Source organism: Homo sapiens, chromosome 6 (genome assembly GCF_000001405.40).
Source record: "Homo sapiens chromosome 6, GRCh38.p14 Primary Assembly".
NCBI lineage: Eukaryota > Metazoa > Chordata > Mammalia > Primates > Hominidae > Homo > Homo sapiens.
The window spans coordinates 129038184-129065439 of record NC_000006.12 but is presented as its reverse complement, the minus strand read 5'-3'; the positions used below and the strand labels follow the sequence as shown (position 1 = coordinate 129065439).

The 27256-nt window shown below is 36.4% G+C and overlaps 1 protein-coding gene across 2 annotated transcripts in view; it reads right to left on the bottom strand.

The window, feature by feature from the left end:
* The window catches only part of LAMA2 (laminin subunit alpha 2), a 633429-nt gene that overhangs the window by 451127 nt on the left and 155046 nt on the right, over positions 1-27256 (bottom strand). For both annotated transcript variants that reach the window (NM_000426.4, NM_001079823.2), the window contains exons 2-3: positions 15352-15522; positions 5544-5656 (exon numbers count right to left, since the gene is read on the bottom strand). In NM_000426.4, coding sequence (NP_000417.3) covers positions 5544-5656; positions 15352-15522 — 284 coding nt within the window. The remainder of the gene's footprint in view (positions 1-5543; positions 5657-15351; positions 15523-27256) is intronic.

Below are 27256 nucleotides of genomic sequence, written 5' to 3'. Positions count from 1 at the left end.
TGACAATTTTATTTCTTTTTTTGCCTGATTTCTCTGGCTAGGTCTTCCAGTATTATGCCAAATAGAAGTGGTGCAAGTGGGTATCCTTGTCTTATTCCTGATCTTAGAGAAAAACCTTTCAGCTTTTCACTATTGAGTATGATGTTAGCTGAGGATGTGTCATATACAGTCTTTATTATGTTGACGTACATTCCTTCTATAGCTAATTTGTTGACAGCTTTTATCATTAAACAATGTTGAATTTTGTCAAATGCTTTTTCTGCATCTATTGAGATGATCATATGATTTTTGTCCTTCATTCTACTAATGTAAGGTATCACATTTATAGATTTGCAAAGGTTAAACCATGGCATCCCTGGTAGTGATCCCACTTGATCACAGTGAATGATCCTTTTAATGTGCTGCTGAATTTGGTTTGTTAGTATTTTCTTGAGGAGTTTTGCATCTATGTTCATCAAAAATATTGATCTGTAATGTACTTTTCTTGCAGTGTCTTTGGCTTTGGTATCAGGCTAATGGCTGGCCTCATAAAATAAGTTTGGAAGTACTCCCTCATCTTCAGTTATTTGGAGGATTTTGAGAAGGATTGGTATTAGTTCCTTAAATGTTTGGTAGAATTCAGCAGTAAAACCATCAGGTTCTGGGCTTTTCTTTGATAGGGTATTTCTTATTCCTGATTCAATCTCCTTACTCTTCATTGATCTGCTCATGTTATCTATTTCTTCATGATTCAGTGTTAGTAGGTCTAGGAATTTTTCCATTTTTTCTAGGTTATCCAGTTTGTTGGCATATAATTGTTGAGAGTAGTCACTTATGATCCTTTGTATTTCTGAAGTATCAGTAGTAATGTCTCCTCTTTCAATTCTGATCTTTTTTCTTAGAAAGTTTAGCTAAACTTTTGTCAATTTAGCTTATATTTTCCAAAACCCAAGTGACAGTTTTGCTAATCTCTTCCATTGTTTCCCTAGTCTCTATTTCATTTATTTCTACCCAGACCTTTATTATTTCCTTCTTTCTGCTACTTCTAGGCCTAGTTTGTTCTTTCTTTTATCTTTTCTTCATTTTTTTTTTTTTTTGCTTTCTTGAAATGTAACCTTAGGTTGTTAATTTTAGATCTTTCTTCTTTTTGACGTAGGTATTTATTACTATAGCCTTTCTTCTTAGAACTGCTTTTGCTTCTTCTTATCAGTGTTAGTGTGTCCATTCTCATTTGTCTCAAGTTATTTTTAAATTTCTCTTTTAATTTTTTCTTTATCCATTGGTTGTTTGGGAGTATGTTGTTTAATTTCCATGTATTTGTGAATTTTCCAAAATTCCCTCCTTGTACAACACATCCTTTAATCAGTAATCAGGAATCAGTAAGAAGAGCATGAGGAAAGAATTGACATGAAAGAATAATGACCTTCCTTCAAGACTGAAAATTGGATCACCTTTAATATGTTTAAATGATTGTTAAAACTTGAATATATAAAGTATTTCCACGTATTTTATGTTTTATTATTGCAGAAATGTTTAACCATTACATTAATGATTCTAGGCTTTAGAGAAAAATCATTTTATACTATTCACATGGATTCTAAAAGTATAGTAATATTTGCATAGAAATAGTAGTTTATCCTCCTCCTAAAACATAAATTCCAGTTAAAACTGTTAACTTGTCCAAACAAATTTTTCTCTGCAAGATCAGTGAATAAAATATTTAGGTTAAGAATATGTGGAGTGTGATCTCTGTAGCTGTAAGATAATCTTGTTTGGTAAACGCATTCTTAGTTTTGAGGGATAGACCAGGAAGAGAAGTGAATTGCTTATTGAGGAGAAGACTCCTAGTTAAGACATGAGCTTAACTAATTAATGGCATTCCTGGATTAGCCAGGAGTGAGTATCACCTCAATATGTGTTTGAAAAGTCTACTGAAAAGCTGCCTCCCTCTGTTTTACCCCGCCTGCCAATCAGCTTTCTTCTGAAACAAATCAAAGGGCATGACGGAGATAATGGCTAGATTTTAAAAGAAATAAATAAAATCAGACATAATGACATATTCTGGTGAAATCTGGTAGGAAAAAGACTAAAATAGAATGTTTTAGACATCTTATTAACGTTTGAGTCCCTATTACTGTCTCCTTTAAATTGTTGTATATTTTTGTTCGCAATTATATTGAGTTTTTATATACACGTCACTGGAACAGTTAAGCTTTTCTTTAAGTTCATGCTGACTCTAGATCCTTTTAATAGCTGTAATTGTGAGATGGAATTTAGTTGCTATATTGCCATTATCATTACTTTAATTTTCTTGCCAAGATATTGTAATATTTAGTCTGCTAATCTAGAAGTTGAGGCACAGCATGATTAAATCACTTGCTCAAAATATGCTATGAGTAAATAGAATGAGAAAAGTTAATAATCCCTTAGTAATACGTATCTAAGAACAATCTACTTATAAAATAAGTAGCTACTTTCTTCCAAACAAATTGCTATTTTTTCTAGTGCTTATCTTGAATGTTAAAATGTAAAAAAAAAAAAAAAAAAACCCACTGTAATCTATAGTGATTTAATCAAATAAATGCAATCGTTTCTGTTATGTTTAAGATACTAATTTATGAAAATGTGTCACAGAGGAGCCAAGCATTTATCAACAACAATACTGGCACTTGTTGAAATTTATACAAAAGAAGAACTAATAAATGGTCAAGTCTCTTGCTGAATAAATGACAAACAAACATTTAGTGATATTTACCTATTCATTATAATTTTACTGCCTTTTAATCCCAGTTGGATAATAGCTCATCTTATTTTGAATAACCTATTAATCCTTCATGCGGTAGGTAGAAAAGACAGAAGCTTTGCCATTTTAGAGGCACACTAGAGTATACTAGAAAATGAGGGTTCTAGTCCCCTGCTTTATAACGAAACAGGTTGTTGGCTATATTATCCCATAGAAGCCAGGAGAAGATAGTGCAATATTTCTTGAACCTGAACTACATTTGGAGCCCTTGAAAATATATAATAAAAATTATCCTGAGCTCCCTAGGATTATGTCTTCAGATACCCATTAGAAAAGATAGTGTATTTGGGTCTGGATTCAGACTATTCATGTTGCCCCAGCCCTGCCCATAATAAGCTTTAGAAAGAAGGCCAAGTCACTGAACTTTTCTAAAGCACAGTGTTCTTCAACTATGCAATAGGAATATTAATATTAGCTGGTTTATTCAGGATTATTGTGAGGAGTTACATAATAAGAATGTCCACATTTTCTCTGTTGCCAGTGCAGTACAATATACCATCCATAGCTGAATAAGTATTATAAACATGTCTCACAGTTTGTTATTCCAAAGCCTGAGGCCAAATTGGAAGTCTGAAGCTCTTTCTTGTCTGAGAAGTTCCATCACGAAACTTGATTACAAAACCTGTTTAACTTTTCACATCACTAAATAACTGACTAAATTAAAATCTTGAGTCAAGTAGAAATAAGGATTTATTACATTTTTAGAGATTACTTGAATTCCCCTTCTTCTACACACACAGTAGGTTGATTTTCAGGAAATAGAAAGCTGGAATAAATAAGGATATGGATGGACACCATCCTGGAATATGGGACAATTTGAACACATATGCTCTGTACCAATTCCACTTGGTGAATTTCAGACTTTGGAGTCAGGTAGACCTGGGTTATATACAGAATTCTGGCACTTTGTTATGATGAATGAAGCATAAAATATGTCTTGGCATATTCACTCATCTTACCTCCATTAAACTAAATGGGAGGAAGAGAAAACAGAACGACAAATCCACATAATTCTTAAGATACTGTGTGGGAATGGATGAGTGAGTATGCAAAGTAAATTTAGGAAAATATCAATGACATCACTGAAAAATAGGCTTTCAGGTAAACTCTTTGACTTGCTGAATTGATAAAAACAGGCAAGTTAGAAATGATTTAGTAAAAACTTGTGGTTGCGCCATCCAGTTGTAAATTAGGAGGGGAAAAATGCTGCCATGTTTGATAACAGGTAAATAATATTGCTGTTCAGCTCAAAGAGTACTATAAGTGATTTGTGCAAATTATATTAATAATTGACCCCATTGTTCTATGTGCAATCTAAAAGAATAAATGGAGAATAAACCAGAACAATAAAGCATCATTATTTATTGATTGCCTGTCCCTGGAGATGACCTGAGTCAATGCACAGCAGACTCACTCTTGATTGGGAGACTAGACTTTCAATGATCACATGAAGGGGGAGAACTCTTGTGACCAATAAAGGACAAAGTTGTCTTTATCAGGAGTGGTATGCAGTCCATTTTGAGGCTAAGATCCCCAGGGGATTCATGCACAGGATTAATTTTCCTAAAGCATGATTGATCAGTGTGGTAGCTTGCCCTGCCATTCTCTGATAGTGCTCTGAGACTTCCTGAGAAATATTATTAACTCAGGACTGACATTCAGCTGCTGTATATTAGTGAGGGTAGAAATAAGTCCATGCCATTTGGTGATATAAGCTGCAGCACTGAGCCCCTGCCGCCACCAGTTCCTCATATCCCGAGGAGGCCCATATGGGTGGAAGGCAGGTCTACCGTGCAATCCACCAGCTTGTTTGCTCCAGCCAGCTTTCTGTGGCTCTTGAATATATGCAGCCCTCACCAAAATGAACCTAGACACTGGAGGAGGGAGATTGTACTCATGCTGGTGGCAAATGGCATCCATTAGGAAAATGTCTTGTGCTGATCTGGCCCACTGGCTGGGGGCTTCCCCACACAGTGATAACTTATAAAAACCATGACCTTTACAGTGTATGGTGTCTGTCATTAACTATCCTGACCATCACCCCTGCACATTATTTAGGCATACAAATAGGATGGAATGTGGCATTTGTCCACTTTCCATCCTAATTGCAAGCCTAAATAATTTGAGGTGCTGGCGATTCCTGATTAATAACTTCAGCCTGACCTGAATATTGTGAAGAGAAGGAAGAAAGAGATTAAGCATAGAAGGCACCCAGGCCTATGCAAGACAAACTTGAACAACTTCCGGCATCAATTTTGTATAACTACAAAGCTTGTTACTTCATTTAGTCACCCAAGTTTAACTTGAAAGCAACTGTCAAAACTTTCTCAGCTCTCAGTAATGAGAGGCAATTTGCTCAAGAGCCTTGTTATCCAAGAACCTTTAAGTGCACACACCATCAGCACAGTGGGAGCAATGTATTATTTTAAAAGTTAAAAATGATACTATTATATTTTTGTTATGTAAAATTTTATTGATCCATATTTTCATCATTAAGTCCAGCTAGCTAAAACAGAGTTAGCACCTAATTCATTTCTAAGCTCTTCACGTGCTTCCATTTGAATTGTGCTTTATAATTAAATGCTGAATACTCGTAAATAACAATACGCTATATGAATAGGACCCTTTGTTCATCTTATCAAGAAAACAATGGAGAGTGATAAGAAAGAGTATCCTTTCACCCACAAACCACTAACTAAACAAATAGCAAATGTAAAATGCAATTTCAAAAGTGGAAATGACAAAAAAAGAGGAACTATACCTGCTGTAAATCCAGGGTAATTGTCACATAATGGTATTCGATTCCATTCTTAATACTGGGACTCTGCCACCAAGTGTTCTTTCCATCAATAGCATTTGTAATCGGGTGTCTCTCTATTGAGTTAGCAGCATCATATGAAAGGAAGAAGAAAAGATCATATAACTAGTTTATAGCTTTTTCTTTAAAGTAAAAAAAAATGGTTAAAACAACCATCATGTGAATATCAAACATTAAAATAATACAGAAGGAGAGTAATTCAGATTCTCAACAGAATTTCTTCAATGACAGCTGTCTCATAGCACCATACAAGGTAGCAGGAAATGTTTAAATGCTTAGGCTGCAGGGGAATGAGCTGGTCAGCACTCTGGCCATTAACCAAAATGGGCAATTTTAAAGGTAACTACAGAAATTAAGTGTAAAGATATAATGTTAAAATCTAATTGACTTGTCAATCATTCAAAAAAGCAACAACTAACTATTGAGACAGCTCTAGTATGCCATCAACCTTGTTAACAGAAACATAAAATCCTGACTTGTGGTTGAAATACACTTGAACACTTGCCCTTCTGACACATTCATTATTATTAAGACGTAGGGAGTCCAATATATATCTGGTTTTAACATAAAATGCTGTTAAATTCATTCTATGAGATATTGAGGCTCAGAAACCAATACCCGAAAATATAGCATGCTGGTATGCTGATTATTTTAAATTAAAGGCTCTTGGAGACCAGCAAATGCTGAAATAAGTTTTACTCTGATACTCCCGTATCTACTTACAGTCTGATCCCACCAGGAGGAAAAGTTTCCTCTGGCCCTCTTGCTTAAGTTTTCATTAATTTAACTCATTTCACATGAAGAGAGACTGAAGTCTGTCGGCACACCTGAACAGACTTTTGTTACAAACCACTATCTGCTCTGTGGGCCCAACAGACTTTGTCCCAGGCCATTGTAGGTTCTTGAATTCCCCTAAAAAATCATTTACTATTTTCCAAATTGCCATATTTTCCCCATCTTCCCTCCCCCGTGAAGAAGGGTATATCTACATCTATGCTCCTATTGGGTTATTGGGTAATCATCCTCCTGTGATTCTTCCATGCTATGCATGTTAAAATACATTTTGTATGCCTTTCACCTACCAAGCTAACTTTTTTCAGTTGATTTTTCAGCAAACCTTCAGAGGGCAAAAGAGAAGTTTTCCCTTGGCCCTTACAGAAGCTTTTTGCGGCCAGTCTTTAACTTGCCAATTTTCTATCACTATTTAATAATATGAGAGATAACCCAAACCTCTCATCCGGCATTTGTCTGTTGCCATCATCACTAACTCTAGTGGAGGAATCTTTACAATAATGGCAAGGAAGGAGATGATGGCACATGAAACTCTATCCTACCAAAAACCACAGATCTTCCCTTACTTTCACCCAGACATATAAGAACAGGACCAATTGTGAAAATCAAAAGGGAGATTAGAGATAGAAAATAGGAGGCGTGGCAACCCCACAGACCTGTGACCTTTGTTGCAGCTCCCTTCCTTCTTACAATCCTCAAAGCTCACAGTTTCTCATCTCTCCCATTTTAGCTCCATGTGTCTCACAACAGCAGCCACTACTCCTGGGCTGCCAAGCCCTCATTGCATTTTGGTTCCCAGTCATTGGTTCTTGTCTAAAATCTTTGCTTCTCATTTTCCAAGTAATATAAGGTCTTTTTCTTTCTCCCTCTCTAAACAGGCCTTGCTCATGCATGGGTGAGGATGGCAGGAGTGGAGGCTGTTGATGATCCTGTTTCTATTCCCAAGGCTGCAGTAAGGGCACTTAAATTCCTCACATCTCACTAGAAAGTCGGCACATTTGCCCATAGAAATGTAAACAAAGTGGAGGTGAGCTTCCCTGTACTCCTGTGTTTATTATAGATTAAGGATGCTTTGGGGTGTCAGTCTTGAGAATTTCATAAAACTAAGTATCTGGGAAGATGTTTCGAATGAGTGGCTTATGAATGACCTTTTAGATTAGAACACAATCCTTTTTAAATTTGAAGGAATACCTCACATAAGGAACAAATCACATTGCTATGAGGAACAAACATGGACTCTCAATTTGCCTACCTAATATTGCAATCTAGCCATGTATTCTAATAATAATGGTGATGAGAGGGGGACCATGAGGTGCTGGCACACGGGTAGCTGATATTCCTCCTGGCTCCACCACTTAGTACGTAACTGACCACAGACAAATCATTCAACATTATGTGTCATCTCTGATCTAGGAATAACAAAATTCCGCTCACAGCAGTGGTTTCCAGATTCATAATTTTCAGAGAAAAAATATGAAATTAAAAATAAATGTGTGATCGATTTGTGAAATTGATATAGGAGTTCTAGCTCTTAGTTTTTCCAAGTAATAATAACCTCCAATATATTTCTATCATTTAATAAAGCATCATTATTATTTCATGAAACAAAGGGCATTTAAAAACCATCATTAGTTTTTAAAACCCATAATATCAAAATGGAGGACAATTATTTAAATTGTATCCTTTCTATTTTTATGAAAAATGTGGAAAGTTGTTCTCATTTTCTTACTTTGCCACGGACCAGTGAGAACATCTTGGATGTGAACCCTGTATTCACAGGGTTACTGATGAACAGTATAACTGTGAGCATTCTAACCATTATTATGCATATACATAAAATAAATGATACATCTATTCAAAATGTACACTGTTTTGAATCTTAGAGACAAGTTGTACTTGGTAAAACATTTGAAAAAACAATAAAAATAAAGCAAAACTAAGTCCTCAATGCAATAGGAATCTGATAGAAAGTAAAATCATCTTTAAAAGAAAAATTTTATTAAAAGCTGAATATTGGCCAGGTGCAGTGGCTCACACCTGTAATCCCAGCACTTTGGGAGGCTGAGGTGGGCAGATCACCTGAGGTCAGGAGTTCAAGACCAGCCTGGCCAACACAGTGAAACCCCATCTCTATGAAAAAAAAAAAAAAATAGCACAGGCATGGTGGCGGGTGCCTGTATTCCCAGCTACTTGGGAGGCTGAGGCAGGAGAATCACTTGAACCCAGGAGGTAGAGGTTGCAGTGAGCCAAGATCACGCCATTGCACTCCAGCCTAGGTGACAGAGTGAGACTCCATTTCAAAATTTAAAAAGCTGAATATTCACTAAATTTGGCATTTTCAGATTTGTGAAGATTTGTATTACATATTAATTTATAATTAATATATAATACACTGTCATAACATTTACTGAAAACATGAAGACTATGTTTTAAGCTATTTATGGTATTATAGTCCTATTCCAGATATGGATATTCATATTGCAAATCTTAATATGACTGTACAAGACAGGGCAAAAATATTCCATTATTATTGGTAAATTTTTTAATTCAACTTAACAGCTGGCTGGACTTTATTTTCCACCAAATCATCATGTTAGCAGTCCATAGAGATGAGGCTTCCTGTCTCATTAATGAAAAGTAAAATTTCTGAATATATTTAAATGTTAGCATTAGTCAAATTGTTCTTTTGAAGCTAGGGAAGATGTCAGGTCTTTATGATGACAGCAAATATCAGAAGCATAACTAAATACCAAATAAATGACCCTGGTGAAATAAGAGGGTGCTGAAATTGGCATATGGGGAATCAAAACCATAAATGAAATATTGTTGGCACTTCTTCTGAAGAAAAATAAATATCACAGAAAACATTTCCCAAACATCCTCCTGAATCTTTTTTACAGATTGTGCGTTTAATATGTGATAGAAAAACACACACATACAACCCCATTTCTAAATCAAATTCATGGCTCTTAGGTAATTGTGAGAGAAGTTGTCTAATAGGAAATTGTGGTATCTGCCACCTCAGGTCAAACTGATAAGAGAATTAGTCACAAAAAGGAGGACTGGGAGATGAATCAACAATTAACCATAATCCCTATTATGAAAGTTTAATCATAATTAATTTGCAAATACTGACGAATTGTTGGCAAAGTTCCCTTATTTAAAAGGAGATAGAAACGTATAACATCCTCAACAGGGATAAATATGCAAGTCAATCCAAGGGCTAACTGCATCTGAAAACTGGATAGGGAATCGCTGATGAGGTAAACCTTTCAAACTGCTAGCTTTTAATTGGGAAGCAAAGTCTATTAACAGAAAGTTCAAGGTTCGTTTTCTTTGCAGGATAATTAACTGCGGACCTTCCATATTTATTCTCAGAGTTCACTGAATTTGTGGAATTTTATCATCTGTTGCTCCAACTTTTACTAAAATATATTCATGCAGTTGATTGCTAGATTTTTATTCTTGTGGGGTTTTATTCTTTCTAAATTTCTAGTATCAAAGCATAATCTGGAAATGTGGAATGAATCTGGTCATTTAAAAATAATCATGCAGGCCAGGCGCGGTGGCTCACACCTGTAATCCCAGCACTTTGGGAGGCCAAGGCAGGTAGATCATGTGAAGTCGAGAGTTCAAGACCAGCCTGGCCAACACGGTGAAACTCCATCTCTACTAAAAATACAAAAAAATTAGCCAGACGCAGTGGCACACGCGTGTAGTCCCAGCTACTCAGGAGGCTGAGGCTTGAGAATCGCTTGAACCTGGGAGGCGAAGGTTGCAGTGAGCCAAGATTGTGCCACTGCACTCCAGCCCGGGTGACAGAGTGAGACTCCATCTCAAATAATAATAATAATAATAATAATAATAATAAATAATAATAATGTAAAGTAAATCCAGACTGTGACTGGTTTAGAAAACACTACAGGTAAATAAAAATGGGGAAATACAAATCATAACTTATATACACCTTGCTTTACTGAAATAATTGATTCATTTTTGGTTTCAATGTGAAAACATGGATAGTATTGGCTGAATATATTTATCTTCCACGAGACAAAAGATACTCTGAATGTAGAACTTTCAAGAGGGTGAAAGACAGAATAGCTTTTGGACTCAATCTGACAATGCATCTCATCCATTTTTCCAGCCAAGAATAAAAATAATTGAGTGGAGAACTAAATTATTTTCTACCCCAATCTTTGCATCATTCCTCCATCCCATTTTTATGATTGGATACATTTTCTTATTTCTTGCCTTTCTAGTGTAAATATTATATACACATAGGTACATATTATTATATATACATAATATTTATACTTATATGTGTATATTATTTATATAAATTTATTTAATATTATATAAGTATATTATATTACATATCATATATTTCATGTTTAATTTAAATATTTAATAAATACATAAGTATATGTATATACCTGCATACATATACACACACTTATGGTTTTACATATTTTATCTCTCTAATTCTCCCTGTCTGCACAGTCCATCCTAAATACACGTCTACACACTCGCACCTCCTCCCCACAACTCCGTTCATGCCCCTGGGCTTTCTCACATTCTCTATGAAATTTTCAAGGCCACCAGTCCCTGAACCAATGGTAGTTTCCCTCCATCAGGCTTTGTCATCTTGCCTAATGAACCTGAAACTAATAATCCATCAATTCATTTACTTTCTGACCTTTTCTTCAATTTTCTTGCCATCTTCTCTTTCCATTCTACTTTCCCTGTAATGCTCCAAGAGTATCAGTCCACACGTTTGATTCTTTATTTTACTCCATATGGAATTGCCACTTTATTCTGATTACGGCTCAGTGATCCCCTCCTATTCCCCTGAGAGGCTCATAATCTAAATGTTTGCTTCTTTCCTCAGCAGGTAACCCAGATTTACATCTTAATGAAGAAATCAAGATCATCAAATAAGAAATTTCTCCCAACACTTTCTGCTGACTGCTGCTATTCATTCTTTCTTCTTTCTGATTTGGTGAGTTAAAAGTATGTATCTTCTAATATAAGGTTTTTGCCTATGCTTAATGACCCATATGTTTTTACTTCTAGAGAGACACCATGCCCACCACCACTTGGTCTTCAACTTCCCTGCCTTTCCCCCCAAGCATCTAAACCAACTCAAATGTCTCTTATCTTTGAAAACCTTTGCAACTCCACAACCTCCTCTGTCCTTCATTCTCTTTCACATCAAGGATACTTGACAGAATATTTCTATAGTCCCCTCTTCTTCTTCATCATTCATTTATTACCTCTTCAGTGTGCCTCTTGCCACTATGAATCTGCTGAGTACTTTAGAAAGGTGTTCAATGGATGGCCATGTTGTCAAAAGCAAGGGAAACCTATTTTATGCTTTTCTTACTCAATTATCTTCGAAGCATTTAAAACTGTTACTTTTTCTTCCTAAAAATTCTTTCCTTCATCACATACCTAATGCCTCATTTTCCTGATTTTTTTCCCTTGAAATCTGTTTCCCTTTATTGCCTTGACTCCATTTACCTGAACTCCCTTGGCTTTTACATAAAAGCAAAGGGCTCTGACATATGTCCTTTCCTCTTACATTCTATACAAGAGCTAGCAAACACATGGGTATGCAACTATACTCCCCACTCCTACACACATACCATAACAACTTACATCCGAGAAATTCACCAGAGTCGGCCGGGCGCAGTGGCTCATGTCTGTAATCCCAGCACTTTGGGAGGCCGAGGCAGTTGGATCAACTGAGGTCTGGAGTTCGGGACCAGCCTAACCAACATGGAGAAACCTCGTCTCTACTAAAAATACAAAATTAGCCGGGCATGGTGGCGCATGCCTCTCAGGAGGCTGAGGCAGAAGAATCTCTTGAACCCGGGAGGCGGAGGTTGCGGTGAGCCGAGGTCGTGCCATTGCACTCCAGCCTGGGCAACAAGAGCAAAACTCCGTCTCAAAATAAAACAAAACAAAACAAAACAAAAAAGAAAGAAATTAACCAGAGTCATTAATAGGAAAGGTTTCTGGTGGTTGCCTTCTTTGGTGTCTTAACATGTTTTCTGATATTCTGTGATACACACGACCACTAATTTTAATCAAACAAGTGTCAATTGCTGAAATATAGTAATGTTTTCTGCATTCCTAAATTATATAATGAGGGGACTATGCATGCCTCTCTTTAACCAGCTCCAAGAAAAAAGGCACAATGCCTTTCAATTTTCTTTTTGGGATAAAAAATGTAAATTGTGAGAAAAAGCTCTCATTTTATACATTTTATAATTTAAAAAAAAAAGAGCAATGAAACTACTTTGCGTGATACTCTAATGGTAGATATATATCATTATAAGTTTGTCCAAACCCATAAAAGGTACACCACCAAAAGTAAACCCTAATGCAGTCTATGAAGTTTGGGTGATGCTGTTGTCAATGTAGGTTCATGGACTGTAACAAATGTAGCACTCTGGAGGGGGATTTTGGTAATGGAGAAGTCCACGCATGTGTTGGGGCGGGGGAAATATGGGGAATTTCTGTACTTTCCTCTTAATTTTGCTGTGAACCTCAAACTGCTCTAAAAATAAGGTCTATTTAAAAAGACAGAGAAAAGGCCGGGCGCGGTGGCTCACGCCTGTAATCCCAGCACTTTGGGAGGCCGAGGCGGGCATATCACGAGATCAGGAGATTGAGACCGTGCTAGCTAACACGGTGAAACCCCGTCTCAACTAAAAATACAAAAAAAAAAAAAAAAGAATTAGCCGGGCGTGGCAACGTGCGCCTGCAGTCCCAGCTGCTGGGGAGGCTGAGGCAAGAGAATGGCGTGAACCCGGGAGGCGGAGCTTGCAGTGAGCCGAGATCGCGCCACTGCACTGCAGCCTGGGCGACAGAGCGAAACTCTGCCTAAAAAAAAAAAAAAAAAAAGGAGAAGAAATACTAAGCAAATTTTAAAATAATATAATTGTGAAGCTTTACCCCCATCATAGTTCACCTCACTTGGCATTAAGTATTCACGTTATTACCTCCTTTCTCTCTCTCTCTCTACATATATATATATATACCTGCATACATATACACACACTTATGGTTTTACATATTTTATCTCTCTAATTCTCCCCGTCTGCACAGCCCATCCTAAACACACATCTACACACTCGCACCTCCTCCCCACAACTCCGTTCATGCCCCTGGGCTTTCTCATATTCTTCATGAAATTTTCAAGGCCACCAGTCTCTGAACCAATGGTGGTTTCCCTCCATCAGGCTTTATCATCTTGCCTAATGAACCTGAAACTAATAATCCATCAATTCATTTACTTTCTGGCCTCTATATATCTATCTATAGATATAGATATCTATAGATCGATCTATAGATATAGATATCTATAGATCGATCTATAGATATGTAAAATATATCTCTCTACATATAATATATATCTACCTTTTAATATATTATATATGAAATAATATTAACAAAAAATATATCTATTGGGAGGCTGAAGCGGGTGATCACTTGAGGTCAGGAGTTTGAGACCAGCCTGGCCAACATGGTAAAACCCCATTTCTACTTGAAATACAAAAAATAGCCAGGCATGGTGTCACGTGCCTGTAATCCAGCTACTCGGGAGGCTGAGGCAGGAGAATTGCTTGAACCCGGGAGATGGCGGTTGCAGTGAGCTGAGATCGCACCACTGCACTCCAGCCTGGGTGACAGAGTGAGATTCTGCCTCAAAAACAAAATAAAAATAAAATAATATATCTGTTCATTAAAAATAATATAAATAAATATAAATAATATATATTTTTACCTTTATGTAGATTACATATAAGTATATATCTACCTGCTATATATATTTTATATATATATTATATATATACAGAGAGAGAGAGGTAAGCGAGGAGAAGAGAAGAAGGCATGTCAGAAAGATAGATACAGATAGAGATATATAGATATAAAGATTTCTTAGCCAGAAATCTTTAGATGACTTTAGCATCTACATGGAGCATTCATGTTATTTTAGCACTGAATTTACTTTTCTTTTGCCTCTATTTCCCCTCTAGGTCCTCTGAATCAGGGGTTATGTGTAATTTAACATTATGCTCCAATACAATGCTTTGCTAGTAGGAGGTGTTCAAAGGCCTGTTGAATAAATACATCAATGAGTCTGAGGTATCACTGTGGTTCATAGAGGCTGGAAAGAGGGCTTTACATGGTGCCTCTCCCTAAATCACTTCTCCTGTGGTTGTTAAATGCCTTCATAATCTGGCTCCAGCCTTTTGCTCTAGTCTCATCTCTACTCTCTGCCCTTTGGCACTTTCAGTTCTAGTCATTCCTACTTGTAGCTCCCCGAGTAACTAGGATTTTCTGTCTAATTCTGATTTCTCTTCCTGGCATGACTTCTCCTCTTCCCCTCCCTCACCTCTTTACCTGTTTATCTCATACCCTTGTTTAGCTCATGTCCTTGGTCATCAGCTTGGATATCGCTCCTTCTGGCAAGCCTTTACTTACACCAAGCCTTTGTGGCCATCCTCTCTCTTCTGCAGAACGCTGTGCTCATTCTTTCCTTTGTACTTACCACACTATATATCAGTAGCTCAAAGACGATATCCTACCTTATTCCTCCTGGATCTCAGGCACAATATCTGGCACATAAATTACCAATGAATGATGACAGCCTGAGTTAATAACCACACCCTCAGAAACCACTTTGGTATCTGGAGTTAGTAAACCCAATGACTGCCACAGGCCTTCAGCTGGCGAATCATCTCCAATCACTGTACTTAGCACATAGCAGGAACTCCAATAATGTTTGCTGAATGACAGAGAGGGGCCAGGAAGAAGCTCTTAATGGTAAAAAGAATTCTAGGAATTCTTAGTATTACAAACCCTTGAATTTAATGCAACTTGGCCTCAACATCTCACAATTATAGATCCTACCCAGCGCCACACACCTACACACTAAAATACATACGGTTTGGATTGCTGCTGTTTTGATTGCAGATTCGACACTGCGGGTTCCTCACAGGCTGCCCAGGGACATGTTCTACCAATTTGCAGTACATTTCAGGTCCTTTTTCTCCACATGTTGCATTGGTCGTGATAAGAGCATTAGAAGCAAGATTCAGGACAGCAGGGAATAAACCTGAAAAAGATGGACAAATGAAGGTGTGTAGACCAGAAACAAAGTTAGGATTTTGATACATTTTAAAAGCAATTGAGATAAAATATTTTTCGGAGCATTAAAGTAACCCAACATGAGATAATTAATGATAAATACCTGACAATTCAGTATACTACATAAATACTATGTGTTATCAAAAGAATACTATTTTTCTTTCTGGGTCTTAAGTATGGACTTTAAGCCTCTTTTTAATTTTTTATCTCTAATATTTAGCTAGGAAGAAGGTCCTGTCTCTAGGACACATTCTAAAACACAAATCTTCTGTTGAAGTTATTGGTAAAAGATCCCACTAAATCTTCCATCTTCCATTTCAGATATTTTATATCTAGTATCAAGACATAATTGCATGTTAATGTTTCTGCACAACTATGCAAATATATTTTTTCATGGTCATTTCATGCTCTAATTATCCTTCAGTGTAAATAATTATTAAAACTTCTTTATCCCAGACTAGAGAAGATAGATAATGTTTACTTTGGAATACCAATTTTTACTGCTTTCCATGCCATCCAGCAATATAATAAAGCAATATATTGCCAGAAACAAGCCATTATAGTGGTCCATGATCATACACCAGTAATTATGTCTTAGATATAATAGAAGTTTTTAACTTTCATAGATACGATCTCAGAGGTCCATCTAAGTGTAGGGCTGGGGAGATTTTTTTATTCCCTCTGAGAACCAAATTCAGTCTCTTTTCTTCCTGTAAGTTAATGTCAATTGTGCTTCATACATGTCTAGCATTTGCATATTATAGACCCTTTTTCAATAACAGTATAGCAAAGTCACTCATCAAAAGCCACTCTTTAACTGAAAAATCTGTTCTTGGAGAAAGTACATTTGAAATTACAGATAATTTGACTCTATTTATGGAGAAAATATGCCGACCATCTAGGTTGTTTCAGCTCTATATATGTGCCAAGTAGGTCTATATCAATTCAACTTCTGATAGAAAGTCATTCCTCGCCGGGTGTGGTGACTCACGCCTGTAATCCCAGCACTTTGGGAGGCTGAGGTGGGCGGATCACTTGAGGTCAGGAGTTCAAGACCAGTCTGGCCAACATGGTGAAACCCTGTCTCTACTAAAAATACAAAAATTAGCAGGGCGTGGTGGTGGGCATCTGTAATCCCAGCTACTTGGAAACCTGAGGCAGGAGAATTGCTTGAGCCCGGGAGGTGGAGGTTGCAGTGAGCTGAGATCACATCACTGCACTCCAGCCTGGGAGACAGAGGAAGACTCTGTCAAGAAAGAGAGAGAGAGAGAGAGAGAGAGAAAGGAAGGAAGGAAGCAAAGAAGGAAGGAGAAAGAAAGAGAGAGAGAGAGAGAAAGAAAGAAAGGAAGGAAGGAAGGAAGGAAGGAAGGAAGGAAGGAAGGAAGGAAGGAAAGAAAGAAAGAAAGAAAGAAAGAAAGAAAGAAAGAAAGAAAGAAAGAAAGAAAAGAAAAAAGAAACCTTCCTGACTAAATCTCATGGCTTGATATTTTACTGAGATCCCTAGATCTTGAGTTTGTGTTTTCTGCCTTTTTTACCAAGATCTCTAGATCTTGAATTTGTATTTTCTGCCTTATCCTCAAAGCTTGGCACATAGTAGGGACAGAGTAGGCACTCAATGTATTTGTAAAATAAACGAATAATTAGATTATAAATATTGGACTCATAAATGTTTGTCTGTATCATCTGCATATAATAATAATAATTATAATCATAATAGCCAGCATCGTTGAATGTTTGCAATGTGCCAAGCACTATTGTCAGACACTGTTCCTACAATGATTTGCTACACAAAACATCCACATGAGCTTCATACCACTATTATCTCTATTTTATTAAGAAGGCAGAGAGGTGTTAAGTAACTCGCTCCTGATTACAGCTAGCAAGTAGCAGAGCTATGATTTGAACCAAAGCAATCTGGCTCCAGAGTCTATCCTCTTAATCACTCTACTGAATGGCATCTACAATGTTTTATGAAACCAGCATAGATCTAGTGCTACCTTGCGGACCTGGTTGGCCTTAGAATTGCATTGAAAGAAACAAAAAATTAAAAAAGAAAGTAAATTAGGAAGATTTTTATAATATTTGATTATTAGAGTATGTATTGACTATTAAGTTTTCTTTTCTGTTAAAAAAAGATAATAGTACAGTAAAAATTGCAATTATAAATAGTTTAAATCTTTATTGTAATCACTCCAAAAAATTCCACAGGTAAATGAATTCAAAAGATCAAGTGACAACTCAGTTCTTGTCTCAGTCATTCTTAAGATCTCCCAAAGAGCTGCCCCCAAAGAATCTTTTCTTTCTTTTCTCCCTCCTTATACATATGTCTTTAAAAATCCCTTAATCCTGTTCCTCCAAAATAGTGACCCCCAACTCTCATCTGGCCTCCTGCCTTGTGTTTTTCTTCAGCTGAAAGTTGAGGTTCCCAATTTTTCCTGATTTGCCAATGGTACTTACTTTTTCACTTAATCACTATCTCATTTATTGTTCCTGATACATTTATTCCCCCCTCATCTCTGTGCTCTCTGGCCCCAACACAATGAGACATTCTGTCAGTGTGACATAAGGAAAGCTAATGTAATTGTTGGTTAGAGAAATATTAAACATTCATAAAGTATTATTTATTTCATTAGAAAATGTAATGTTTTATAAAAAGTAGAGTACCATTTAAAAGTTTTTACCTTATTTTTTTTTATCTTTTCCATGATATAAGCCTTAGTGAAAACTTCCTAACAATTTTGTGACGTTTGTCAGGTTACAAATTTAAAAATAATTAGATGGTCTCCACGCCATTATCTATCTTAGACATTTTATTTTCTAGGTTAATAAATGATATGCGATTAAATAAAGTTTGTCTGTATATCTTTCTATTTTGTCATTCATCACCATTTTGCATTTAACGGTACAACTATTCCTTCATCAAATATGTTTTGAGCACATATTATGCCAGACAGTAAAGGATCTGAGAATAAAAATATTACTAAGATGGGCTTATCATGGGAAGTAATCTTGAGCTGAATTTTCAAGGAGAAATAGAAGTTTATCTGTTAGGGAAAATGAAGAAAGAAAAAACAAACATATCAGGCAGAGGGAATGGCATATAAGTATGGTCTCTCTGCTGAAAGCTTATGTAAATGATGAGTGAGTCAGAGTACTTGAATCTGTAATTGTTTCAACATATAAGATTATGTAATTGTCTGGATATAGATGTGGCTATAGATACAGATACATATAGGTTACACATTGAATAAACATAATGGTGGATATGGTTTGGCTGTGTCCCTACCCAAATCTCATCTTGAATTGTAGCGCCTGTAATCCCCATGTGTTGTGGGAGGGACACGTTGGGAGGTATTTGAATCATGAGGGCAGGTTTTTCTCATGCTGTTCTCGTGATAGTAAATAAGTCTCATAATATCTGGCGATTTTATAAAGTGCAGTTCCCCTGCACATGCTCTCTTGCCTGCCACCATGTAAGACCTGCCTTTGTTACTTCTTTGCCTTCCACCATGATTGTGAGACCTCCCCAGCCATGTGGAACTGTGAGTCTATTAAACCTATTTTTCTCTATAAATTATCCAGTCTTGGGTATGTCTTTATTAGTAGCATGAGAATGGACTAATACAATGGTGCACTTACATATTAACATAAAGCACTGCTTATTTGTCACTGTTAGTAATTTGTTTTAGTGGACTTTTCTCCAGTTCTTTAAAAATTTAATTTACAGTATAGAAAAATAAGTAGTAAGAACAAAGAGACATGCTGGGAATTCTGTTTAAAGGAGAGCAAAATTATACTTCTCTTGCTCGCTTATATGATGAGTTTAAGCAGTCTAGCTCCATCTGCCCCCTTCAAAGACAGCCAGCTTACTTACACAAAAGCCATCTCAGGCAGGTGCTAACATTTCTAAAACTTCACCAGGGCATTGTCACTTTTTCTCTCGGATTTTTGCCTCCTCCCTCAGCACTGACTAGTTCTGACCCTGACCATGGCCTCATTCCTGTTTTGCAGGTATGGGTAAGACTCCCTGTGCCCTGCTTTGGTCTGCCCTGAAAGACCTGATTGGAGCAGGCCAGGCCTGTACTTTCCCAGGCCTCAGCAATCATGGGAGGAAGCCAAGAAAAGAGACCAGGGATAAAGTATTTTCTTTATGTTGTATGTTCAGAAAATATAGAATTGGATTATGTACCAATTATCCCACATAATTAAATAAATAAAGAGAGCAAAAGCATACAGCTACAAAGGGATTACAGAGTACAAGAAACATTGATTCTGAAGCTATTCTATATTCTTCATATTATTTAATTCCCATATAACCCATTGTATAAATTTTATTAATTCTTTCCACTTTATAAAAATGAAGGAAGTGCAGCTCAGAGAAGATAAATGATATGTACAAAGTTATGAATTAGTAAGATTGATAACTATGATTTGAAGTGAGCTCTTTAAAAAGCTTACAAGACTTCTTGTCAGGGCCTAAAGTAGAACCAAAATCTGGTCCTTGGTAAAGCTTATTTAAATCTTTAATAAAACAAATAACTTATCCCTCACCATGCCATTGTTGCTTCATAGAGTTTTCTAACCATAAAACTAAAGACACTAATAAAATTTACATTTAGGATCTTTCAATTCTTTTCTTTGATTTGTTTCTATTACAGTTACTGATTATGTGCTCAAAATTAACCTTTGCACAATTTAATTGCCTTGTTTTATGGTCAGGGAATAGTTGCTTTATGAAATTTCATTGCTATTTTGCTGTTTATTTTTAAAAATCGGTTAAGCATATTGGTCAGCAAAGGTCTCCAATTAGTTGCTAATGAATGACCAATTTGAAGAATGAATCAATATCTGAGCTTTTATTGAATCTTCAGCATGTCTTATTATAGATTGCAACCCATTTTCATTATATGTTAAATCTATTATGCTGTGCCTACTTATTCCCATTCAAAAGCACCAGGGCAATATTTATTTCCATATTCAATATGTGTTACTTGGTTAAGATTATGTAAACATTAGGAGTGTAAATTAACTATAAATAGCTGATGAACCTTTAGAGAGTATTGACTTACATCTTCTTAACTCAACTTAAGGTCCTGTAATGTTAATGACATAAAAGCCAGTGATCATTATCCATACAACTATGATTGACATTTTTTTTCTGAATAGCACTAGACTAAATAAGTTTAGTTGGAGTTCTGGTTATAAGGAACAATGTCTGAACAAAAATCAAACAATATTCTGTTTATACTATGTATTTTATTAGAGATTAGAATATTCATATTATATATAGAATAATATATTCTGTTCTATAGTGTATATATATATATATGGTAATAGGATATCTAGAAAAAGGCTAAGTGTATATCATGTGAAAATTTGAAAAACTGAAATTCTGCTACAATATGGCAAACATTTGAAAAAAATCACCTAACTTCCACTGTTTTTATTTGGATGTGTTTATACCATATTTGCTTTCTCAAATAATGTAGTATGTTCACACATGTTGGCATGATTTTGATGATCTACATTCTCAAAATCCCACTTTTTGGTTTCAAATGGCAGAAACATTTTAAAATCTACTTATGGAGGTTCTATTTTTAATAATTGTGAAGTAGCTTTTATTGGAGCAAAGCTCCCAGAGATAACAGCTATAAATTCTGTGTATATATTTGGTGTGTGTATGTATATGTGTGTGTATATATATATATATACACACAGCAAACACCAGATATCTGGAGTGCACCTAAGAACAGGTAAGCCAGGAAGACTATGAATACTTAGAAGGAAAAGGCACTGGATGAGCTCCAGAATGGCTAAAACTCAAATAGAAACCCACAGTTTTACTGGCTTGAAGAACTAGTGAACAAAACTAAAAATAGCCACAGCAGGTGTAAAGAGAGGTCCACAGAAAGGGAGCCTCAATCTGTGCATAAACTCTGTCCAAATTGCTCACTGATGCCAGACCTACACCTGCCCTAGTCAGATTCCAAGTAGCCCAGCTAGGGCTGAAAAACTGAACAGAGATTTTAGGTTCTGCACTCTACAGGAAAGAAAAAAGTTGGGACTTTGAGCCCAGTCAAGTTAACCAACTGATGCGACAACAAAAAAGAATGGGTGAGTGCTCTTCAGAGGAACATAACAAAACCCAGAGTTTCTACAATGTGCTATTATTCATGACATCCAGGTTGCAATTAAAAAAAAATACTAGACATACAAGGAAGCAATAAAAAGTAACTCATACTTATGAGAAAAAGCAATCAACGGAGATTGTACTGAGATCAACCAGATGTTGGAATAAGCAAACAAGCATCTTCAAGCAGCTTTTAAACTATACTCAAGGACATACACACATACGAAAATTCTTGTAGCAAAAAAGAAATGGTAACAACAAAAAATATTGAATATAAATTCTGTGACTGAAAAATGTAACACAGTATCTAGAATGAAAAAAAAATCCACTACATGTGATTAATAGAAAATTGGAGATGATAAAAGACAGTATAAGTACATTTGATGTCAATAGACTTTTTCCCTGTTAAATTCTTTTAAATGCATATTAATATTTAAGGCAAAAAATCACATCATTGCATATGTTTGTAAATAGAATATATATGACAACTATAATAAAGAAATGGTGGGTGAGAGATCACAGTAACTGGACCTATATATTGACAAAGTTCTCATGTTTTAGATTAAATGGCATTATATTAAAAAGATTGACAACATCAAATATTAAAAAGTTTGTAGAACAATCAAAAGTCTGCTGCATTGCTGTTGGGAATGTAAATTAGCACAACCCTTTTAGAAAACAGGTAGTTTTTAATAAATATAAAAGTCCTTCAAATTTTCCCCTGTTAGGTACATATCCAAGATAAATGACATTACATGTCCTTAAAAAGACCTAAACAAAAATGTTCATAGAAGTTTTTATCATAATAGCCAAACCTGGAAACACCTTAGGTTTCCATGAATGGGGGAAATGATACAAAAACTGTGGTGTATTTAAACAATGAAATACTATTCAACATAAAAATGGAACAAATTACTGATACACACAACAATGCTGATGACTCCAAAAAGGATTATGCCACATAATATAAGTTTACACCAAAGAGTGGATACTCTATTATTCATTTATATGATCTTTTTAAACATACCTAATCTTTTAGGAAAATAAAACAGGAAAAATGGTTGCCTTTGGGAGCTTGGGGGCAGAGACTGACTGGGAAGAGGCATAAAGAAAATTTCTGGGATGATGATAATATTCTTGATAGCAGTTTGTATTATAATGGTGTATGTATTTGTTAATTAAATATTACATTCAGTGAGTGAATGTTACACGGGGTGATAATTTATGCATTTCAATGTAGATAAATTTGAGCTTGAAAAAAATTAGCAGTATTTAACTCCAGTTAATGATATTCATGATCATGTGTATAGGAATGAGGTTTGCAGTATATTAAAAGATAAAATGGATTTATGGGTAGATATGTTCAGATGGATAGATATGTGATAAAGCACATATCTCCTCCCTACTCAAACATGTTAAATTAATTTATCATTATTATTATTACTATTATTGACATGGAGTCTCGCTCTGTTGCCCAGGATGGAGTGCAGTAGTATGATCCCAACTCACTGCAACCTCCGCCTCTCAGGTTCAAGTGATTCTCCTGCCTCAGCCTCCCGAGTAGCTGGGATTACAGGAGCCTGCCACCACGCCCAGCTAATTTTTGTATTTTTAGTAGAGACGGGGTTTTGCCATATCAGCCAGGCTGGTTTTGAACTCCTGACCTCAACTGATCCACCTGCCTCAGCCTCTGAAAGTGTTAGGATTACAGGCATGAGTCACCACGCCTGGCATTAACTATTTTTTTTTTTTTTGAGACAGGGTCTCATTCTGTTGCCCAGGTTGGAGTGCAATAGCATGATTATAATACTTCACTGTAACCTTGAACTCCTGGGCTCAAGCAATCCTCCTGCCTCAGCTTCCTGAGTAGCTGTAACTACAGGCATGCAGCACCGTGCTGGCCTTACTTTTTTTTGGTAGAGACATGGTCTCACTATGTTGCCCATGCTGGTCTTAAAATCCTGCCCTCAGGCAATGCTCCCACCTCAGCCTCCCAAATCCCTGGGATTACAGGCATCAGCCACTATGCTTGGCCTAATTTTAGAATCTAGATTTCGAGTACATAGTGTTCACTGTATGATTCTTTCAACCTTACCAAGTGCATGAAAATTTTCAAAATAAAATGTTGGTCAAAAAAATCTATAGAAATATGACACATATGTAAGATTTATCTCATTCTTTGGATTTTATGTATTTTCAATATCAGTATCAATAAAAAGTTAAATTGACATTTCTTAAATCAAATGTAGAAAAGGATGTTGGATACAGCAAAGGAAAACTATCTTTTCAACTTCCTTCAGAATCAGAGGAACTGGGCAAAAAGATAGTCCTGGATAAGCAAAATTGCTGAGTTTTTCCAAGAAACCCACAGGCCTGCAATCAGCAGGTGACTATTTCTCTTGTACAGTTTTCCAGTTCTTTAATCTCATATAAATGAAGAACTTTGACTTAGAATCATGTTTGATGTGTAAGTGTTTTCTTTTGAAGCACTACACAAGTCAATGAGAAATTCATTGAACAATTAAGGGGTCTTCTGTGTGGCACAGGGAAGGCTGCTTCCTTAGGCTTCAGGCAATGTTCCTCTAGGTGATGAAGAAGAAGGTTGTTGTCTGGTGGCAAGAAGAATTTAGTTCAAAGAAGCCTAGTTCAAACTTGAATTTTACAAATGAAGAAACATATACCCAGAATTTAAATGGCACAGCTGGTTTTCAAACACAATTTTCATAATTCCAAATGAGTGAAAATTTTATTATTAAAGATCTACTGTGTTTCACTCTTCTCACTACTCTAAACAAAAATATTTATCACCTCCTGCATCATCCCTGAGTCTTATGCCATCTAGCTCTGCCTTCTGTAAACACACTCATGGGCTAACTTCCATCATAGCTTTACAAGTCCTATGATATATTTCCAAATTTCTCAGTTTTAAGAAAGTACTCCTTTTTGCAAGTGAAGCCTTGGTTTTCTCCAGCAGTGACAACACTTCTGCAGATCTCCTCAATGGATTCATAAAATCACTGGGGAAAGACAAGTAGCCTTCTTCTGCCTCCTGAAGGCCACTTGCAAATCAGTTTCTTTAACTGTCACTCAATAACTTCATTTCTTTTTAATTTGTTTAATTTTTTTAAGACAGGGTCTCACTCTTGTTGCCCAGGCTGGAGTGCAGTGGCATGATCATGGCACACTGAAGCCTCTGCCTCCTAGGCTCAAGTGATCCTCTTGCCTGAGCATCCTGAGTAGCTAGAACTACAGGTGCAAGCCATCACATACAGCTAATTTCTATTTTTTTTTTAATTATTGTAAAGATGGATCTTGCTCTGTTGCCCAAGTTTATCTCAAACTCCTGGCCTCAAGTGATCCTCCCACCTCAACCTCCCAAACTGTTGAGATTACAGGCATGAGCCATCATGTTCACCCAATAACTTCTTTTCAAAAAGTCCAAATAATCCATCCTTTCCACATACTCATCTCCATTATTGGCTGACTTCATGAAGATCATCCACAAAAATATTGGTACCTAATTCATAGTCACCTTTGTTCCTGAAATTTCTGTCATTTTTTTCTAGGTAGATAAATGTCAACCAGCATTAATAAAATGTGACTCCACAGAAACCAGAAAATGTTAAAAGATACTTTGTGAACAAATATGCCTTACTTTTCCCCATTCTAAGATTTCTGCTTCCAGTTTAATTACTTTTTGTCTCTACCTCAAATTCAGCTACACACACCGCTCCCCGCCACACAAACACATCAACATTTATATTCAGATATCCTAACCTTACTTTACATTTATTACAGTAGCATCCTAACCCGGGGTCCCCAACCCCAGGGCTGCAGACCAGTACCAGCCTGTGGCCTGTTAGGAACAGGGCTGCACAGCAGGAAGTGAGTGGCTGGCAAACAAGCATTACCACCTGAGCTCTGCCTCCTGTCAGATAAGCAACAGCATTAGACTCTCACAGGAACGTGAACCATATTGTGAACTGTGCATGCGAGGGATCTAGGTTGTGAGCTACTTATAAGAATCTAATGGCTGATGATCTGAGGTGGAACAGTTTCATCCTGAAACCATCCACCCCTATCCCTGTCAATGGAAAAATTGTCTTCCACAAAACTGGTCCCTGGTGCCAAACAGGTTGAGCACCACTGCCCTTCCTAGTCTTCCTGCGTGACTCTACTCCCATTAATCTTCCCCATTGTTGTTGAAATTATCTTCCCTAAAACTCACTTTCTTTTTTAAAGACTTTTGTGAGTTGCCTGTCACCTGTAGTGTCGTAGACAAACTCCTTGGTGATCTAAACATTTATAATCAGGCCTGCTTTCTACCTGTCTGAACTCATCTGTTGCTATCCTCCTTCATGCCTTCTTATACATCTAGTGAACTGATCTCTTCCTATTTACAAATATAGCAGGCATTTTGAAAATGCTTTGTGATGACATTATCTTGTCCCTTCAACAAAGAATGTTCTCCCTTTTTGTTGCATGTTCATCTTTCATAGCTCAAATATTCCCTGCTCTGTGAAAGTGTTTTCTGACTTTGCCACACAGAATTTTCTGTTTCTTTCTTGGTGTCCGTATATTACTTAGTTGATATTTAGTAGAACCCTCATCATACTGTAACTTTAGTATTTTTTACGGTGGCTCTCAAGTCTATAAAATTACTGAGGGCATGGATAGCACTAGTTGGAATATAATGCCACTCAAATTTAAATTTACTGAATAAGAATGAGTTCATGCACTGTATAATCTTTCTTGAGAAAAATATGGCAAATGAAGGGCATTAAACTAATCAGACCTTTAATTTGGTGGAAATGTAGAACTGTTTTGGTACACTAGCTAAGTGAAAACATTCAAAGAAAAAGCCAACCTATATGAAAAATGTGGCAGACCTTCATCATTTCTTGGCTGTCCAACATTCATCCTCCATTTCTTTTCTTGAGTAATTGGCATTGTGTCTACTATTGAGGGTATGCAGTGTCCTACCTCCTGCCAAGGAAATGTAAATAGAGGAGACCTTTCTTCTCCCTACCCTATAGCAGTTAGGGCATGTACATGTGACTTTGGCCTAGGAATTTGAATATTAAGCATGTGAAGCACAGACTAGAGAGATAAGGAAAATCAGATAATGATAGGAGTAGAGATAGTCATATCAGAGGAATGAAAGAGAAAGTAGTGATGGCGGCAGCAGTAAGCAATGACTATTCTGTACAGGTATCAAAACCTAGGGATGACCTTGATGTCTGCCATCTTCTCACCCTGGTTTTCAAATTTTCCCATCAACTCTGCAAGTTATATGGTATATTTCAAATGTATTTCAGCTTAAGTAAAATAGTATTGGTGGTTCCTGTTGCTCATGATCAAGAAGGAAGATGGATATAAATATCACATGTTATGTACACACAGACTCACACACAGAGTGAAGATAGAAAGATTAGGATAGAATAACTTGATTATAACTGACAAAATGAATAAATATGTATACAGTTGCTTCATTTAAATATCTATAGAAAAAAAGTGAAGGGAAAATGGTAGTGACACTACTCACAGCAATTATACAAAGACTCAATGGTTG